The sequence below is a fragment of the Homo sapiens genome, chromosome 19 (genome assembly GCF_000001405.40).
Source record: "Homo sapiens chromosome 19, GRCh38.p14 Primary Assembly".
Taxonomy (NCBI): Eukaryota; Metazoa; Chordata; class Mammalia; order Primates; family Hominidae; genus Homo; species Homo sapiens.
The window spans coordinates 9,708,341-9,729,308 of NC_000019.10; the positions used below are offsets into that span (position 1 = coordinate 9,708,341).

The 20,968-nt window shown below is 42.5% G+C and overlaps 1 long non-coding RNA gene and 1 pseudogene across 1 annotated transcript; one reads left to right on the top strand and one right to left on the bottom strand.

Annotated features, from left to right (window-relative positions):
• On the top strand, positions 1,320–14,070 carry LOC105372270 (uncharacterized). The gene is made up of 2 exons (NR_187774.1): positions 1,320–1,652; positions 11,203–14,070. It is a non-coding gene; the product is annotated as an uncharacterized LOC105372270 (long non-coding RNA).
• On the bottom strand, positions 15,660–16,738 carry LOC100130854 (zinc finger protein 562 pseudogene; annotated as a pseudogene).

The following is a 20,968-nucleotide window of genomic DNA, read 5'->3' on the forward strand; positions in this document are numbered from 1 at the left end:
CTTAGAGTTGGGAGCCCTTAAAAGGGACAGGAATTGCTCACTCGGGGAGCTCGGCTCTTGAGACAGGAGTCCTGCCGATGCTCCCGGCTGAATAAACCTCTTCCTTCTTTAGCTCCGTGTCTGCGGAGTTTTGTCTGTGGCTTGTCCTGCTACATCACCAGGGCTGGAGTGCAGTGGCATGATCTCAGCTCGCTGCAACTTCCGCCTCTCGGGTGCAAGCGATTCTCCTGCCTCAGCCTCCCAAGTAGCTGGGATTACAGGTGGCCACCACTAAGCCCAGATAATTTTTTGTATTTTTAGTAGAGATGGGGTTTCACCATGTTGGCCAGGCTGGTCTTGAACTCCTGACCTTGTGATTTGCCCATCTCGGCCTTCCAAAGTGCTGGGATTATATATATTCCTGTAGGAGATAGAAGCTTCAAAAAATAAAAACCTACAGCCAAGCCAATAAAATAGAGCACATATCTCACCACAACTGCAAAGACAACTATGCTGACATTACTACTTTTAGTTGGTGTTGTGCTGGAGGTTAAAATCCATTCAGTAAAGCAAGAAAATATATATTTATATAACCTAATGACTGAAAGGGAAAAATAAGTCATTACTTACAGATTATCTCACTGCCTATGTGGAAAGGGAAAAGAGTCATATTAAGTACTTTGGACTGAACAATGACCCCAAAATTCATTTGTTGAAGCCCCAAACCCCAATGTGAGTGTATGTCAAAATAGGATCTTTAGGGAGTATCATTAAATGAGGTCGAGGGACACAAGGGGCTGTGGGGAGGGAGAGCGAGAGTGAGAGCACGACCCGTTTCTTGGTCTCCATCATGTGAAGACATGAGGAATTAGGCATTTACATGCCAGGAAGAGAGCTCTCACCAGAAGTGGGCCATGCTGGCACTCTGATCTCAGATTTTCAGCCTCCAGAAACATGCGAATATAAATGTTAAAAACAAGTAGTTTAGATAGTTCCTCTTCAAAGGGTTTCATTTTGTTACAAAGTGTTCCTCTGCAAGAGGTCTTTACTTCCTTGTACTGTCTGTCCTGAAGTCTTATTTCCCTGTTGCTTAAATTAACCTTGCCCACCAGTCTATCAGCCCCTCCCATCCTGCTGTGCTCAGGCATGCCCACCAAGAAGTCACCCCCTCCCTGCTGTAACAGCCTTCCCTGCCACAACTGTTCTTCCCTGTACTCTTCAAATTAGCTAACTGCATTCAGTTTAGACTGTGTGGTTCAACCCCAACCAATAGGGGAATGACACATCAACTAAGGCCAAGTGCATTAGGGATTAAAAACCCCTGCTGTCTTTTGTCTGATGAGCTCTTGCCATTGCTCCATCCACGAGACACATGCTTCTGTAGAAGTAAATTTGACTTTCTGAGAAAATTTATGTTCGACTGCTATTTCTTTTGCAGCACAAATAGTATGTTTCTAACAATTTGGTGGCCTGTACAAGGACCCCATTCTCCTCCCAGAGGGTTTTCCATCCTCTCCTGTGAGGACACATGCCCCACTGCCTCATTGCAGTAGCCTCAGGGGTAAGGAATGGAGACCCCCCTAGTGTGATGAATAAACCCGGACTCTCAGCAACATGGGAAGAAAAGACCTACAAATACCGTGGTGACCAGATAACTCTGTCCACAGACCAAGGTAAGAAATGCTGCAGGAGCTGGCAAAGTATTTCCTAGGTGGTCATGACCAAGCTAAGAAAAGCCACAGGGGCAGTGAAATATTCCTTGGTGAGGACACACCAAGGCATGAAAAACTGCGGGGGTGGTGAAGTATTCCTTGGAAGGGGTATCTTGGAAGTTAATAGTGTATGAATAAGATGCACAATTGCATGTGAAATGAGTGTTAAGTCTAGATCTGCAGTTCTGTGGTCACCTCATATGGCTTAGGGTGACCCACCTGTAAAGGAGTCCAGGATGGGGGTTTATACCAACCCACCAATGCCAAGAGGGACCTAACATGGCTAGAGAAGGATGAAGTGAAAGAAGAGGCAAAAAATTCCCAGTAGGGGGGATTGAGCCTCACAGGAACCTCCAGTAGCAAGGAAGGCAAAAAATTTCCATTAGGGGAAATTGAGCCTCACCCCATATTGCAAGAAATTTCCAGTAGGGGAAATTGAGACTTACCCCAAAAGGCAAGAAATCTCCAGTAGGGGAGATTGAGCCTCACCCTAAAACCATCAAGATGGGAAATACCCCAAACAAGGTAAGAAAAAGGATAAAGCTAGCAACAATAATATTCCCCTGATAGTCCCCTAGGCCTAATGTTAAAATATTAGAAGAATAATGAAAAGACCTTAGAGAAATGATAATTAAAAGAATTAGAGAATCTGTACCCTGTATCCAAAACATTACAAAAGCTTTCAATACACAACAAGAAAAAAATAAATGACCTATAAAATTCTGAAAAAAACTCAAAGAGCAAATGGAGAAATATGCAAATCTAGAATAGAAGACCCCCTCAGATGAGGGATGTTAAAGCTTCATTTTGTTACTAATCGTTGGCCAGATATTAACAAAATATTACAAAAAATAGAGAACCAGAAATACAGACCTATAGAAGAGTTTCTTTAAAAAGCCCAAAAAAACACCAGTGCAGTGGCTCATGCCTGAAATCTCAGCACTTTGGGAGGCCAAGGCAGGCAGATCACCCGAGGTCAGGAGTTCAAGACCAGCCTAACCAAAATGGAGAAACCCCATCTCTACTAAAGTTACAAAATTACCCAGGCATGGTGGCACTTGCTTGTAATCCCAACTACTTGGGAGGCTGAGGCAGGAGAATCACTTGAACCCAGGAGGCAGAAGTTGCAGGAGCTGAGATCACACCACTGCACTCCAGCCCAGGCAACGAGTGAAACTCTGTCTCAAAAAAAAAAAAATCCCAAACAGTATATGTAAGAAGAGAAAAAGAAAAACAAAAGCAAAAGGCAAAAATCTTGCTGTCCACCATACAACAAAGTACCAAGGGAGCCAGACATATAAAGAACCTAGACCACCACTGTCCAGGTGATATAAAATGTATGAAAGAGTAAAGCCAGGAGACTCAAAGGAAGAAAAAAAAAAGACAGAAAAATTGTTTCAAATGTGAAAAAATAGGTCACTTTAAAAGACAATGTCCCAAGTGAGAAAGAGGAAGAGACTGAGTGTGAGGGAGAGAATGCTGAGACCAGATCGGTCAGGGAGACCCTAACCCAGTAGCGCTAGAAGAATTGAAGACACACACACAGAAATATAGAGGTGTGAAGTGGGAAATCAGGGGTCTCACAGCCTTCAGAGCTGAGAGCCCCAAACAGAGATTTACCCACGTATTTATTAACAGCAAACCAGTCATTAGCATTGTTTCTATAGATGTTAAATTAACTAAAAGTATCCCTTATGGGAAATGAAGGGATGGGCCAAATTAAAGGAATAGGTTGGGCTAGTTAACTGCAGCAGAAGCATGTCCTTAAGGCACAGATCACTCATGATATTGTTTGTGGCTTAAGAATGCCTTTAAGCAGTTTTCCACCCTGGGCGGGTCAGGTATTCCTTGCCCTCATTCCGGTAAACCCCCAACCTTCCAGAGCGGGCATTGGGGCCATTATGAACATGTTACTGTGCTGCAGAGATTTTGTTTATAGCCAGTTTTGGAGCCAGTTTATGGCCAGATTTTGGGAGGCCTGCTCCCAACATGTCCCCCTTCTTTGATTTGCAGATTGATAAAAGCAAAGGAGCTTTGTCATGGTGAGCTACTTCTCATAGGAGTCAGGATCTGCATCTGAAGACTATACAAAGATAAATAACATGGATTAAAAGCACAATCATCATTGAAATTACAGAGCTTCCAAGTGTTTTTATCCATTTTAATGGGTTACTAGCTGCTAATTTGTCTGCAGCTCCTTTAAGCACCCCAGTTCCTGGCATTAAGGTCAGGTGTGCCTGGGATGTTTTAAAATCTGTTCTTTTAATTTTGCAATATCCAAAAACAAGTCTGTAGAGTGTCCTTTTAGATACTTTTTTATTCTTTCCAAAATTGTGATCTTATTAAGAGCTATTAATAGTTTCCACAAATCCTTAATGTTTAGCTCCTACAATGAGCCATATCATTTGAGGTTGAAGTGCCACTATACTGCTATGGTTCCAGATAATAGGAACTCTTGTTGTACTTCTTATCATTTCTACCATCTGACCATTTTGTTCAGACCAGCTGAACATAGTGTGGCTGGGGCATGCAGACTGAGAGGTGCAATTCAAGCTAAACATCCCCTTAGGGGACCAATCAATAAAGATTCCATAGGAATCATTGTGTAGCACCTCTACCTGTTCTGCAATGCAATTTTCCTAAACAAGCACATTCATTTTTTCTAACTGGGTCCAATCCTGTTTACAAATAGGTTTTTGAGGGTGGTATGCCTCAATTATAGGAGCAGATTTATTATGGTAAATACTGAGATCAGAAAGCATGTGTAACTGGGTCATAGAGTGATTGCATCCAGGCATTATTGCCAGCCAAGATTGATCAATATGCCCAATAAGTATAATTGTTCTCTGTGTCAGCTCTTATTGAAGGAATACTCACAGCAGTGGTGATAACCACTATGATAGCTACCATTAAATTATTCATTGTGACTGGTTGTCCCACTTTCCTCAGTTTTTCTTCCACCATCTGTGACAGCTTCTTGATCTGTCCCCAGGTGGGTGGCTGTGTTCAACGGGTGTTACTCGTGACAGTTGGGGTCCTCCTCAGCATCAGTCTTGACATGGCTGCAACTGGGGGGTCCTTGGGATCCTCCCGGAGTCTCTTCCTCGGCATCTGGCTCATGATAAGGTTTCAGGTGTCTTGATGGTATCCAAATTGGCTGTTGATTTTGGCCTGGAGAAACACAAGCATAACCTCTACCCTAAGTTATTATTTTACCTATTTCCCATCTTTTTATTATTGGATCTCTCCACCAAATCAGTTGTTCTGTTTCTGTCTTTGCAGCTGGTTTCTGTAGATGCTGTTCAGCTGCTGATAACATCTGGCCTTTGGGCAGGTTCAAAAAATTTAATGTTAATAATGTTAGATTCAGTTGTATCTGTGTGGTTCCATATTCTCCGTCTCCCCTTTTCTGCTTTTGCAACTGCTGTTTTAGGGAGAGATTCATTCTTTCCACTATGGCTTGTCTTTGAGAATTGTATGGGATACCAGTAATGTGTTTAATACTCCACATAGAGAAAAATGTAGCTAGAGATTGGCTAGTATATCCTGGGGCATTATCTGTTTTAATAGAAGCTGGAATGCCCATCACCACAAAACACTGCAAAAGATGATGTTTCAGACAGGCCAAACACTCTCCTGATTAGCATGTAGCCCATATAAAGTGAGAAAAGGTGTCCACACATACACATATATAAGCTAGTCTCCCAAACGAAGGAACATGTGTGACATCCATTTGCCAAAAAGAGTTAGGTTCCAATCCTCAAGGAATAACTCCTCCTGTAAAAGATGAGGAATGTACCATTTGGCAAGTTGGGCATCACTGGATAATATTTTTAGCTTCTTTCCTGGTAATTCTGTATCTGCGTTTGAGACCAGAGGCATTAACATGGGTTAAATTGTGAAAATGTCTAACATTAGATACTGCATTAGCATCTAGGCAATCAGGCTTTTGATTCCCTTCAGTCAAAGGTCCTGGAAGAGGTGTATGAGCCCTAATGTGACTGATGTAAAAAGGGTGCATTCTACTTCTAACTGCTGTTTGCAACTGGGTAAATAAAGTCATCAGTTGTTCATCTGTATGAAATAATAACTGAGCATTTTCAATTAACTGTCTGCAATGAACCACTATGAAGAATCAGAAATCACATTAATAGGCATATCAAAAGCAGTCAATACCTCAATTACTGCTAGAAGCTCCGCTTTTTGAGCTGAAGTATAGGGCGTCTGGAAAACTTTACTTTTTGAGACAAAATAAGAAGCTTTACCATTACTAGACCCATCTGTAATAACATTCTCAGCACCTTCAATTGGTTTAAATTTAGTTATTTTGGGGAGAATCCAATTAGTTAATTTCAAAAACTGAAACAGCTTTGTTTTAGGAAAATGATTATCAAGAATACCCACAAAGTCAGCTAAATGGGTTTGACAAGTAAGACTATTTATAAAAGCTTGCTGTATTTGTGCCTTCGTGAGAGGGACAATAACTTTTCCAGGATCATATCCATGTAATTTAACAATCCAAGTTCTCCCAATCCCTATCATAATAGCAATTTGGTCTAAATAAGGAGTTAGAGTCCATGAATTAGTATGTAGAAGAAAAACCCACTCTACTAAGTCCTGTTCTTGGAAAATAACACCAGTAGGTGAATGCTGAGTTGAAAAAATTAGCAAATCTAGAGTCTTCTCTGGATCTATTCTATTTATTTGAGCTTTATGGACTTGTTTCTCAATCAGTTGTAACTGCCTCAGCCTCCTTTGTTAAATGCCAAGGGCTAGTGAGACTAGGATTTCCTCTAAGGATAGAAAACAGATTACTCACGGCATAGGTAGGAATGCCTAGAGCAGGTCGTATCCAATTAATTTCCCCTAGTAATTTTCAAAAGTCATTTAATGTTTTTAATTGATCCCTACATATGGTTACTTTCTGTGGCACAATGATAGTGTCATTTACTAAGGTCCCCAAGTAGGAGTAAGGAGTAGTAGTAGTCTGAATTTTCTCGGTTGCTATAATTAAACCAGTGCAAGAAATCGAATTTTGCAAGTGATCATAACATTGGAGTAATATTTCTCAAATGGGGACAGCACAAACTATATCATCCATATAATGAATAATGTAACACCAAAAATTTTTTACAAGTAGGTTCAATTGCTTGCACCACGTACATCTGGCAAATTGTTGGACTGTTTAACATGCCCTGTGGCAACACTTTCCAATGATAATGCTTAGCAGGCTACAGGTTGTTTACTGCTGGAATTGTAAATGCAAACCGTTCACAGTCTTGCTCAGCTAAAGGGACAGTAAAGAAACATTCTTTTATATCTATGACTATTAAAGTCCAATTTTTTGGAATTATAGCAGAAGAAGGCAATCCTGGCTGTAATGCTCCCACAGGTTGTATAACTGAATTGATAGTTCTTAAGTCAGTTAACATTCTCCATTTACCTAATTTTTTCTTAATTAAGAAAACTGAAGCATTCCAAGGGGAAAATGTTGGAGCTATGTGCCCATTTTCTAATTGTTCAGTAACTAATTTCTCTAAAGCCTCCAGTTTCTCTTTACTTAGCGGCCATTGTTCTATCCGAATTGGCTTATCTGTTAACCATTTTAAAGGTATAGGTTCTGGAGGCTTAACAATGGCCGCCATCAAAAATGACATCCCAATCTTTGGCAGGAACTTTGTCTTTCCACTTGAAGTGGTTTTTTCAAACCTTGCAAATTTTTTTCTAGTCCCATACCAGGGACATACCCCATTTCATGCATCATATGTTGATTTTGAGGGCTATATAATTGTTCTGGAATTAGAACTTGTGCTCCCCATTGTTGTAATAAATCTCTTCCCCATAAATTTATAGGTACATAAGTTATAATTGGTTGAATAGTCCCAGGTTGTCCATCGGGCCCTTCACAATGCAAAATATAACTACTTTGATATACTTCAGGGGCATTACCAACTCCAACTATGTTAAATTGAGCAGGTTGAATTGGCCACGTGGATGGCCAGTGCTGGAGAGAAATGATTGAAATGTCATCTCCTGTGTCTACCAAACCTTTAAATTTCTTTCCCTGAATAGTTATTTCACAGGCAGGACATTTATCAGTAATTTGATTTACCCAATAAGCTGCTTTGCCTTGTTTATTTGTGCTTCCAAATCCTCCTGTTCACTTAATTTCACTTTTCCCCATTCCCACATGTGGCACAATCAGGGGCTGTGGTATGCACTCTCCTGGCTCTGCTTTCCAGGGAACAGAAGTAGATATAACAATTTGAATTTCCCAAATGTAATCTGAATCAATGACTCCTGTATGTATTTGTATGCCTTTTAAACTTTAACTAGGCCTTCCTAAAAGTAATCCTATTGTCCCTTCTCGCAAGGGTCCACAGACTCCTGTTGGGACCTTTTGCAAGGCTTCCCCAGGCAGAAGGCTTACAGCTTTTGTGCAGCATAAATCTACTGCAGCACTACCAGCTGTGGCAGGGGACAGATATTGTACAGGGGTGAGGGAACGGCCTGAGTTGGAAATGCCCCACTTTAGAATGGGGCCCAGGACAGGCCCCTCATGGTGTTTCCTGAAATTGGGTTCCCATCTTTATCAAACTTAGGGTGACACTGATTAGCCCAATGTTTTCCTTTTTTATATTTTGGACATATTTCAGGATCAGCAGTTTTCTTTCTTCCCCTATCTGGCAGGCTGACTCGCTGATTTTTTCTACATTCTTTTTTAGTATGACCATGCTTCCCACAGTTAAAACAAGCTCCAGGAAATGGAATATTTCCTTTATCCACTCTCAGTCCTGCCATTGCCTGTGCCAACAAAGTAGCTTTATGCAGATTACCTCCGATACCATCACAGGACTTGATATAATCAACTAAATGTGCTTTCCTGAATTTAAAAGGAAAAGGCTCAAATGTAGCTATAATATTTCCCTGTTGATCTAGGGGGTGTATTCTAACAGGGAACTGCCAAGCCTCTAAATCACCCCTCGTCTAGCTTGCTGAATTCCTGCCTGAGCTCAAACAGTCACTGGGGCAACTACTTTTCACCCAGTGTCCTCCGGAAAAGAAAGATCTGGAGGGTCTTTTTCTTCAAAATAATAATGACGGGGTGCAGAAGGGTAGAGATGAACCTCTCCCTCCTTTGCTGCTTTAGCTTTAGCTGGCAAATAAACCTGCTCTGTAACCTCTTCTGTTACTTTGTTATACTCTAGTTCCTCATCATCATCAGCGTGAAAAAGCTCCAAGGTGAAACGAACCAGACCCCACACCTGTCCCATTGTTACCCTGATGCTTCCAAGCTCCCCTTCTTACTCACCATGGGGATTGCTTTAAGAGTGCTCGGGTGTCCTCCAGCTAGTTTTCCATTCCAACCATCGCTCTGGTGACACTTCAACCTGGATTCAAACCCCCACGATGGACACCACTTGCCGAAACCAGCCCAGTCAGGGAGACCCTAACCCAGTGGTGCTAGAGGAATTAAAGACACACACACAGAAATATAGAGGTGTGAAGTGGGAAATCAGGGGTCTCACAGCCTTCAGAGCTGAGAGCCCCAAACAGAGATTTACCCACGTATTTATTAACAGCAAACCAGTCATTAGCATTATCTCTATACATGTTAAATTAACTAAAAGTATCCCTTATGGGAAATGAAGAGATGGGCTGAATTAAAGGAATAGGTTGGGCTAGTTAACTGCAGCAGAAGCATGTCCTTAAGGCACAGATCGCTCATGCTATTGTTTGTGGCTTAAGAATGCCTTTAAGCCATTTTCCGCCCTGAGCAGGCCAGGTGTTCCTTGTCCTCATTCCGGTAAACCCACAACCTTCCAGCGTGGGCATTAGGGCCATTATGAACATGTTACAGTGCTGCAGAGGTTTTGTTTATGGCCAGTTTTAGGGCCAGTTTATGGCCACATTTTGAGGGGCCTGCTCCCAACAGAGAAGAAACAGGGGATGACAGAGAGAGAGAAAAAAAGAGAGATTGCAAATGAGATAGAGACTTAAAAAAAAACCCTATGAGTCTAAAAATAAAAAATGTAGAGAGAAACAAAAAAATTAGAGACAGAGATAGAAGGAGAGAATGAGTGAGAAAGAGACTAAACGAGACAGAGATCAGAGAGGGACACAGAAAGTGAGACTAAGGAGAGAAATAGTGTAGAAGAGAGAGGAGGCCAGGAGCAGTGGCTCACACCTGTAATCCCAGCACTTTGGGAGGCTGAGGCAGGTGGATCACGAGGTCAAGAGATCGAGACTATCCTGGCCAACATGGTGAAACCCTGTCTCTACTAAAAATACAAAAAATTATCTGGGCATGGTGGCAAGCGCCTATAATCCCAGCTACCTGGGAGGCAGAGGCAGGAGAATCGCTTGAACCCAGGAGGCAGAGGTTGCAGCAAGCTGAGATCACACCATTACACTCCAGCCTGGGCAGAAAGAGCGAAATTCCATCTCAAAAAAAAAAAATTGCAAAAATAAAAAAAGAGGAAAAGACAGGAGACAAAGAGACAAAAAGTGAGTGAGCAGGTGAGGAGAGAGATTGAGAACTATGAGAGACAGCAACTAGTAGAAAAAGGAGGCAGGAGACTGCTTGGGTGCCACAGCACCCACACCATCCTCTTGCCCCTGTCATTTGGACCCAATAGCTGACCCTTGATAGAGGAGAGCAGACCTCGCAGCAGCCTGAGCCTGGGCAGCCGTGCCTCCACCATCTCCCCACTCAGCAGCCTAAGTCCCAAGCTATATGTGATGCAACTCTCAGAGTCTATGGATGTGTAAAAATGTATACTCTGGCAAACAACTTACAGATAGTTACCTAATATATACATACATACATACATACATACATACATATATGTGTGTGTGTGTGTGTGTGTGTGTGTGTGTATATATATACACTAATAAGCAAACTCTAAGAAAGTCACCCCTTGGAGGAAGGGAGCCAGGATTAAGGCCGTTCTAAAGTGTCCAAACTGATTACACCAAAATGGCCCCAAATTGGTTGCCTAAAGTACCTACTAGTAATGTAAATCACCTTACTCACTAGGTAGAGGCTATTCTCTTTTCAAGTGCAACAGCCAGTAATGTAGTTAAAGCATTAATTGAAAACATTATACCCAAGTTTAGATTAATAGAAAATATTGATTCAGAAAATAAGACTTATTTCACTGCACATGCCGTTAAAAAATTAGCCCAAGTACTAATCATAACATAAAAATACCATACCCCCGGCACCCACCTTCATCAGGAAGAATATAAAAAAAACAAACTCTAAGAATTCATCTAACCGAATTAGTTTTAGAGATTCGGTTACCATAGACTAAATGCCTCCCCATTGCCTTGTTAAGAGTCAGGAATGCCCCTCGGAAAGATGGTGGCTTATCCCCTTATGAAATGGTATATGGGTTGCCTTATTTACACTCCACTGCTGACATTCCTACATTCGAAACAAACAAACAAAAAATCAGTTTTGCAAAAACTATATACTTAGTCTACCTTCCACTCTCTCTTCCCTCAGAACTAAAGGCCTTTTAGCACAGGCACCACCCCTGGATTTCCCAGCACACCTGCATCAACCTGGAGATCACGTTTTCATTAAGAGCTAGAGGGAAGCAAAACTCGAACCGGCTTTGGGAAGGACCCTTCCTAGTGCTTCTAACCACCAAGACCACAGTTGAAACAGCAAAGAGGATGGACCCATCACACCCGGGTCAAAAAAGCACCACCCCCTCCAGAATCATGGACAGTTATTCCAGGGCCAACTCCAAACAAGCTAAAGCTAAAACGGGTTTAATCCTCTTATGTTGCAACTCTTTCTTTTCCCCTTCTATTACTAGTCCTCTCATGATTAATGTAACTAAGTCAAGTTCACCCCAAACTATTACTTTTAATGCTTGCCTTTTGATGCTCTGTGGAGATTTACCAAGCCAGAGGTAACACTCCACTTCAGAAAAGTATCTTTGTCCTTCCTAGCTCTCCTCAGACTAAAAATCTGTTAACTAGGATAAGTTAGTTTAAAAATAGCTTGACAAAGATTCCAGTATAAACTGGAATCTTGTCCTCCTAGGGCAGAGCTTCTCTGCCAAAGTTGGTCCAATGCTCTATAAAATACTAAAGAACAAGGATAGATTGCTCTAACTAGTACTTGCAGTTTCTTAAAACCTTATATTTATTTTACTAAAGCACTTACCCCTCCCAATTGTCAGCTGAACCATCATAATCCAGTACAGATTACCATCTCTGCTCCCCAGAGTTCTTCCCCTTCATTAAGCTACGTCTATAGTATAAGAGCAGAAGTATCAGGGAAGGACGCTTTAGGATCCTTTAAAATGCACTTCATTGTTTCCCCACCTCCTGCACCCCCTTCTCCCTCTCCAAAGTTCTCTGCTAATCAAATCTTTTCTCATTATATACCCAATGATAAAACCAAAGTACCTGTTACAGAGGTTAAAAATTTAAAACAAACTATAGCAATTAAACAGGATATCAAGACACAAATGCTTGGCTGGAATGGATTAAATATTCTGTTCACATGCTAAACAAAAGCGACTGTTACTCTTGTGTGACAGGCAAGCCAGAGACCCAAATTGTCCCCTTTCCACTTGGGTGGTCCTCTCATGGACTGGGCATAAGCTGTATGGCAGCTGGGCATAAACAGTATGGTAGCTGTATGCTAGCCCCCTTCCAAAACCCCACAGCCTGGGGCGATGAGTCATGCGAAACTCTTTCACTGCTGTTCCCTGAGGTCAAGAGCCCTAAGGGTCAGCCCCTGAGGGCCATCTGGCCTCCAGTCCCTAATATTAACTTCACCTCGTGCCTTTCACTGCAGGGGGAAAAGTTAGCATTCCTTGGAGACTTAACAGGGTGCAGTGAAACCAAGCCTTTTCAAGAGCTTACCAATCAGTCTGCCTTGTTCATCCCCAAGCAGATGTGTAGTGGTATTGCGAGGGACTATTGCTGGGTACTCTGCCAAGCCATTAGGGTGGCACTTATGCTCTAGGCCTTTTCCAGGTGAAAAGGCCATCCTTTTCCCCCTCTCATTTCATCAACCAAGAAAGATAATGGCAAAAGACCACAAAAACAAAAAATGCCCTTCGTGTGTCCTTTAATCCTCATGTTTATATAAATACTATTGAAGTTCCACAAAGAGTACCAAATAAATTTAAGGCCCATAACCAAATAGCTGCAGGATTTGAGTCTATATTGTTCTGATAGTTGACTATAAATAAAAATGTAAGTTAAATGAATTACATCTATTACAACCAGCAACAATTTAATTATACCAAAGATGCTATTAAAAAAATAGGTCAACAATTAAGGCTCATCAGTCAAATGACTTAAGAAAATAAAATAGCATTAAATATAATACTAGCAAAAAAAAAGAGGTAGAATTTGTGTCATAATTAAAACTAAATGTTGTACTTTTATCCCTAATAGCACTGCCACCAATGAATCATAACAAAAGTACTACAAGGCATTACTACTTTGTCCAATAAGCTAGCTAAAATTTCTAAAATAAATAATCCCTTCACTAATTTATTGAAAAATGGTTTAGCAAGTTAAAAGGACTTACGTCCTAAATCCTCACTTCCCTTGCTATTATACTAAATGTGATCATTCTTGTTAAGTGTTGTATTATCCCTTGCATCCATAAGCTAATTTAGAGGCTTATAAAAACAGCTCTCATTAAAACCTTCCCCAATTCTCCCCTACCCTATTCAGACAAACTTTTCCTTCTAGATAATAATTTTTTAAAAATTCGACAAATTCAAGCCACGTTAAATAAATTTAAAGAAGGAAGTGTATAAATTCAAGAGGGGTCAAATTGTTAAAAACAAGTAGTTCAAACAGTTCCTCTTCAAAGAGTTTCACTTTGTTACAAACAAGGTATTCTTCTCCATGAGGTCTTCACTTCCTTGTACTGTCTCTCCTGAAGTCTTATTCCCTGGTCTAAATAATTCTTGCCTGCCAATCTATCAACCCCTCCTGCCCTGCTGTGCTCAGACATGCCCGCCAGGAAACCACCCCCTCCCTGCTGTAACAGCTTTACCCGCAGAAACTGTTCTTCCCTGCGCTCTTCTAATTAGCTAATTACATTTAGCTTAGACTGTGCGGCCGACCCCAACCAATAGGGGAATGAAACAGCAACTAAGGCCAACAGGGTTAGGGATTAAAAACCCTCTCCATTAAAAATGCTCTCCATTGTGTGATGTGCTCTCGCCATTGCTCCACCCACAAGATACACTCTTCTATACAAGTAAATTTGCCTAGCTGAGAAAACTTATATTCAAATGCTATTTCTTTTGTGGCACTAAAAATTTGTTCCAACAATAGATTTCTGTGGTTTTAACCTCACTTATTTAAAATTAAATGGATTTGTAAGCCATTTGGTCTGTGGTATTTTGTTATGGTGGCCTGAGCTAAGGCAGATTTTGTACTGAGAAGTAGAGGTACTGCAATTAAAAACAAACAAACAAACAAAAAACTAAAAACGTGAAGCAGCTTTGAAACTGACAAATGAGTAGAAGCTCGAAAAGTTCTGATGTGCAAGCTGGAAATAAGGTTGATAAGGGTAATTCTGGTGAGGTGTCACTGGGGAATGAGGAACATGCTATTGGAAAATAAAGAAAAGACAACCCTTGATATAAAGTGGTGAAGAACTTGGCAGAACTGTATTCTAGCATTTTGTGGAAGGTAGAGCTTCAGAGAGATAAAATTGAGTATTTATCACTAAGATCTGTAATTAAAGTGTTAAAGGACACAGGAAGCTTCATTCTTCCTGACTGCTTACAGGAAAATGCAAAAGAGGAGACTTGAATTGCAGAATAAATTGTTAAGGAACAAGAAACCAGAACTTGGAGATTTGGAAAATTCTCAGCCTATTCATACTACAAAAATTAGAAAACTTGTACTGAAGAGAATCCTCAAAGTGTGGCTGAAAAATCATCTCATAAAGAGATCATGAGTGGGATTCATGGACTATATCAGCCATCTTAAGAGAAATGAGGAGAGAGACTGGATTACACTAGAAGAGACACTGCCACTTACATTGTGCCATGTAAAATGGACAGAGAAGGCAGAACAGAACAGGCAAGGCTGTCACACTTCTTAGATTTTACAAGAAGCGGTCACAGAAATAATCAGCTTTGAAAGTGCACTGGCAGTAAAAGATGGTTTCATTCCTGCCATGATCTGCAGGATCCCTGGGAACAGAGAAGACTCTTGGAGGAGCATCTTTTAACAACCCAACTCTGGGGCCTACATTATCTTGGCTTCTGGTAAATTTTGACATGAATGTGCCACTGGCAGCCACTAACCAACAGGGGCTGGGGTCAATCTGCATGATTTATCTCACACAGAACTTGTTAATGCTATGATCTTAGGAATCTAATCAGCAAGGTGAGGCAGCCTGCAGTACTGACCTCACCATCCATGACCCTTCTTCACAGATACCAAGACTCAGGCAACCATGAAGTTGTATTCAGAAGCTGTAGGTTTAATTTCAGACTCTTGGGATGGCATCTAAGGCCAGTCCATCAGCCATTACAACCCTCACAAGGCATTTAGGACAAATCTGATAATCTTCTGGTGTCACTGCCAATAATTAAAGATGGCAACCGATGAGCTAAATGGTAACACTCATACCCTTATATTCATAGGGTTTCTCCCCAGTGTGAATTCTTTTTTTTGAAATGAAGTCTCACTCTGTTGTCCAGGCTGGAGTGCAGTGGCTCAATCGATCTCGGCTCACTGCAACCTCTGCCTCCAAGGTTCAAGGGATTCTCCTGCCTCAGCGTCCTGAGTAGCTGGGACTACAGGTGCATGCCACCATGCCTGGCAAATTTTTTGTACTTTTAGTAGAGATGGGGTTTCACCGTGTTAGCCAGGATGGTCTCAGATCTCCTGACCTCATGATCCACCCACCTTGGCCTCCCAAAGTGCTGGGATTACAGGCATGAGCCACTGTGCCCAGCCATGATTTTATGTCTACCTAGGTGTGAGGAAACAATAAATGCTTTCCCATATTCTTTACATATGAAGGGTTTCTCTCCAGTATGAGTTTGCAGGTGAATATTAAGGGATGAGGAAAATATAAATGCTTTCCCACATATCTTGCATACAAAGGGCTTTTCTCCACTATGAGTTTTCAAATGTTAAGTACGATGGGAAGAAGTAATGAAGGTTTTTCCACATTCAACACATTCATAAGGCTTCTCTCCCATCTGAATTATTGTATGTTGAGTAAGGCCTGAGGATCTAGTGAAGGCTTTTCCACATTTGTTACACTGATAGGGTTTCTCTCCACTGTGACTTCGTAAGTGTATAGCAAGGCCCGTGTACTGAGTGAAGGCTTTCCCACATTCCTTACATTCATAGGGTTTTACCCCAGTGTGAGTTCTTACATGTTCAGTAAGTTGAATTGATCTAGTGAAGGCTTTCCCACAGTCTGTATATTTGTGTGGTTTTTACTCCAGTTGGAGTTTGAATGTGATCATTAAGATATGAGGAATTTCTAACGGAAATTCCACATTCTTTACAATCAAAGGACTTCTCCTCTTTATGAGTTTTCACATGTGCAGAAAGTTGAGAAAAATTAGTGAAGGATTTCCCATATTTCTTAGTCTTTTTGAATTTCTTTCCAGTATGAGCTGTTACACACTGCTTTAGGTGTGAGGAGGGTGTGATGGTTCTCCCACATTCCTGAAATTCAGAGTTTCTCACCAGCGTGAATTCCCATGTGATTATCAAGGCTTGCAAAACACTTAAAGCCTTTTCCACATTCCTTACATTTGTACGGTTGTCTTGCATTGAGAACTTCAAGATGTTCAGCAAGGCCTGGAGTTAGGGTGAAGACTTTTCCACATGGATTAAATTTAGAAAGTTCCTGTCCAATAGAGGCTTCTTTGTGCACACTAAGGGTGTCTTTTCCATAACAATTACCCTCAAAAGTGTTCCCTCCATTCTGAGCTCTCATGTGTGTCTTAAGGAAAAACAGCTCCCTGAAGACCTCTTCACAATTCTTACAGAGTTTCCATCCACTGTAGCTTCTTGTCTGCTGATGAGGGGATAAAGGATTTAAAACATTTTCCAACATATTAAGAGATTTCACCCATTTGAACACAGAAACATTATTTTGATGACAATTATTATTTTACTTTTCAATGATTAAATTTTTTTTGAGACAAAGTCTTGTTCCATCTTCCAGGCTGGAATGCAGTGGCACAATCTGGGCTAACTGAAACCTCCACCTCCCAGGCTCAAGTGATCCTCATGCCTCAGTCTCCCAAGTAGCTGGGAATACAGGTGCTGCTAATGCACCCGGCTAATCTGTACCAAGTCAGCCACAAACGCCAGGCCATGTTCTGAGCTGATTCATAAGGGCAGTCCAAACCCAGGAATAAGATCTCAGAGAAGCACACAGGTTACCTCGTAGACCTTTTCAGTTGATGTTGGATAAGCCTCCACCCACCCAGAGTAAGTACACACAAGAACCAGCAAATAATTGTTACCTCCACATTTCGGCATTTCTGTGAAATCCACCTGAAGATCCTCAAAAGGAGCCGTACATAAGCTTGTATGCCGGGTGGAACAGTGAGGCCTTGCCTCGCATTGTGCTGTCGGCAAGTAATGCACCATTGTGCTACTGCTTTGCAAGGGCTGGCAAGTGTGAGATGTAGAAGTACCGGCCTAACAATTTTTCAAGTGACTCTTGACCTAGATGAGTGGTTTCGTGCATGGCCAATACGATTGTGGCTCCCATTAACTGCAGCACAGCTACCCTCCCATCTGGCAGTCTGTTCCATCCTCCTTTTATTACTTGCCCCCCTTCTGCATGGAAGAAGTCTTTTTCTTCCTTAGAATAGGTAGTACCAGGTCAGGTGTTTGAGGGAGTAAGGGGGCTGCTACCGATGCCCGGTAAGGGGTAGATGCTGCTTTTCGAGTTTCTGAATCAGCTCGAGAGTTTCCCAAGGCCACTGAGGTGGAAGCTCACTGGTGTCCCCTGCAGTGCATGACTGCCACCTTCTGAGGTTTCCACACTGCCTCTAATAATTGTAGAATATCTTGTTGATATTTTATGTCCTTTCCCCCAGAGTTTAACAGGCCCTTTTCCTTATATAATGCTCCACACTCCATGCACTTGGAGGGTTAGAAATGCATATCGAGAGTCAGTGTAGATGTTTACAGTCTTACCTTCACTGAGTTCTAGAGCCCGAGTTAAAGAATGAGCTCAGCCTTCTGGGCTGAAACACCCTGTGGCAACGGTTTGGCTTCAATGACAGCATCCAAAGTTACCACCGCATATCCTGCACATCTTTCTCCTTGTGGGTTGATGAAGCTGCTCCCATCCATGTATAAATCCCAGTCTACTGATGCCCATGGCTGGTCTCAAAGGTCAGGTCTGCTAGAATAAACTGAGTCCAACACCTCTACACAGTTACGCTTGACTGGGCTCTCTGATACTGGAAGCAGGGTGGCGGGACTTAGGGTGTTACAGATTTCAGTGGTTATGTGGGGATTTTCACATAGCAAGCTTTGGTACTTGGTTAATCTAGCATTTGTTAGCCAATGATGTCCTTTGGTATTCATCAAGGTTACCACAGTATGGGGGACATTTATATTCAGGTTTTGCCCAAGGGTTAGTTTATCTGCTTCTTGTGCTAACAGGGCTGTTGCTGCCAGGGCCCTTAGACATGGTGGCCAGCCTTTGGAAACCCCATCTAGTTGTTTTGAGAGATAGGCCACTGGCCTTGGCCAGGGCCCCACAGACTGGGTTAAAACCCCAACTGCCATTTTTTCTCTTTCTGACACATAGAGAGTAAAGGGCTTTGTGAAATCTGGTAGTCCTAGGGCTGGAGCCGACGTAAGTTTTTCCTTTAACTTACAAAAGGCTTGCTGTTGTAGAGGCCCCCGTTCAAAAGACACCTGGTCGCCCCCCTTTGTAACCCTGTACAAAGGTTTGGCTAGTACTGCAAAGTTTGGAATTCATAATCTACAAAACCCCACAGCTCCTAGGAATTCCCTTACTTGCCTTCTGGTTTTAGGTTCTGGTAGGTTGCAGATGACCTGCTTTCTTTCTGCCCCAGGGTGTGCTCCCCTTTCCGAATAGTGAATCCCAGGTAGCGTACGTGCTGTCTGCAGGTCTTAGCTTTCTTCTTGGACACCTTATATCCACAGTCTTCCAGGTGCCAAAGCAGGGCATCCGTCCCTTTTGTGCACCCAACTGCTGTGGAGTGTCCCAGCAGAACGTCGTCCATGTACAGGAGCAAGACGCAGCCTAGGTCTTCAGCAGGAAGCTTTTGCAGGTCTCGAGCCAGGGCCTCCCTGAAGATAGTAGGGGAGTTCTTGAACCCTTGGGGAAGCCAGGTCCATGTGTACTGAGTAGTGACACCTGACCCCAGATCTTCCCATTGAAAGGCAAACAGCTTCTGGCTCTCAGGAGCTAGTCTGATGCTAAAGAAGGTGTCTTTTAAGTCCAGACAGGTAAACCAGCTGTCCTCAGCTGGCAGCAGCTCTAACAATGTGTAAGGGTTAGGAACTGTTGGTGCAGAGTCACTGTAGCTTGGTTGACCAAGCGCAAGTCCTGTGCTGGCCGGTAGTCCTTGGTCCCTGGCTTAGGGACAGGCAGCAGGGTGGTGCTCCGTGGAGACTGGCAAGGAACTATAACTCCACAGGCTTTCACGCACATGAGATGAACCTGGATTCCTTCAAGAGCTTCTCTGGGAACCGGATACTGCTTTTATCTAACTGGTTGGGCCCCAGGCTTAACTTCTATGAGTATGGGGGTTTGGTTGACTGCCAGTTCCAGAGGATTATCTTCTGCCTATACTTGAGGCCATTGTTTAGCTAGAGCTGGTTTTATCTCTTGGCCTGGCTCTGTTAGAAAAAGTCTCCATTATTCTTCCTGAGGAACTGTAAGGGCTGTGATAACTCCTGTTCCTGGTAATTTTAGATGTAAAGAGCTCTGTTTTGTAAAGGAGATGGTGGCTCTCAGCTTGCTAAGCAAGTCTCTTCCCAGCAAGGGCAAGGGACAGTCAGGCATGTACAAGAACTGGTGAACTATTTCATGTCCCCCCACCGAGGATGTCTGTGGTAGACAGAAAGCCTGCTTAGTGGAAACTCCTGTTGCTCTGATTATATCAGTGGTTTTCTTGGATAAGGGGGTGACCAGGGTGGTCACTACTGAATGTTCAGCACCAGTATCGACCAAAAACTTAATGTCCTTGCCCCCAATTGTAATCCTGACCGTGGGCTCCTTGGGGGCGCTTGAGCCTGGTTGCCTTCACTCTGGTGGTCCTTCAGCCAGATTGAACAAAGCTCCCTCATCTTTATCTGAGATCTTTTGTTCCGAATCACCTTGCTTTTCCTTCAGTTAGGGACACTTATCTTTCCAATGTCCTATTTCCTTACAATAGGCTCATTGGTTATGTTGCAAGCATGGGCAATTAGACTGGGTATTCTTCCCGGAACCCCCCTTTCCCTCTCCTTTTGGGGGAATTCCCCTAATGGCCATGGCCAGTAAGTTGGTGTTTCGCTTGGCCTGGCGTTCACCTTCCTTACGGCTTTCTCTGCAGCTTGTTGCATCTCTGTTCACAAACACTTGATTGACTATTTCCAGTAACTGTGAGGTATTCATACCCACAAACCCAGCCTGTTTCTGCAATTTTCTCCTGGTATCTTCTGCGCTTTGACTAACTAAGGCCATGTTAATCATGCGCTGATTTTCAGGGCTATCTGGATCAAAAGGAGTGTACATAAGGTAAGTCTCACACAGTCTTTCATAGAATTGCGCTGGACTCTCCTCTTTTCCTTGGATGACCTCAGAGACCATATTTACATTTGTAGCCTCTTGAGCCCCTTTCTTTAGACCTTCTATTAATGCCTCACAGTACCATGTCTGGTCCCTTGTTTGGGTCCCATTGGGGGTCTGTTCCTGGCAGCTGAATTCTTATATATTACTGGGGGTTTTGGTAATCTGCTGGGACGTACTCCTCTAGCCACTTAGTTGCTGCCTGGAGCACCCTTCGCTGTTCGTCTGTATTAAAGAGGTACATGAGTAGCTGGTGGCAATCAGCCCAAGTAGGATTATGAGTCTGCATAATAGTTTGGAGCAAGTCAATTAAAGCTTGAGGCTTTTTGGTGTAAGATGGAGTATTATTTTTCCAATTGAGGAGGTCAACAGAGGTGAAAGGTTGACACACAAAGGCATGCCTTTCCACCACGTCTCCATCCTCATCTACCCCAGTATATCGCTGCTCTCTCAGGGGTGTTTGGATTCCAGTCTT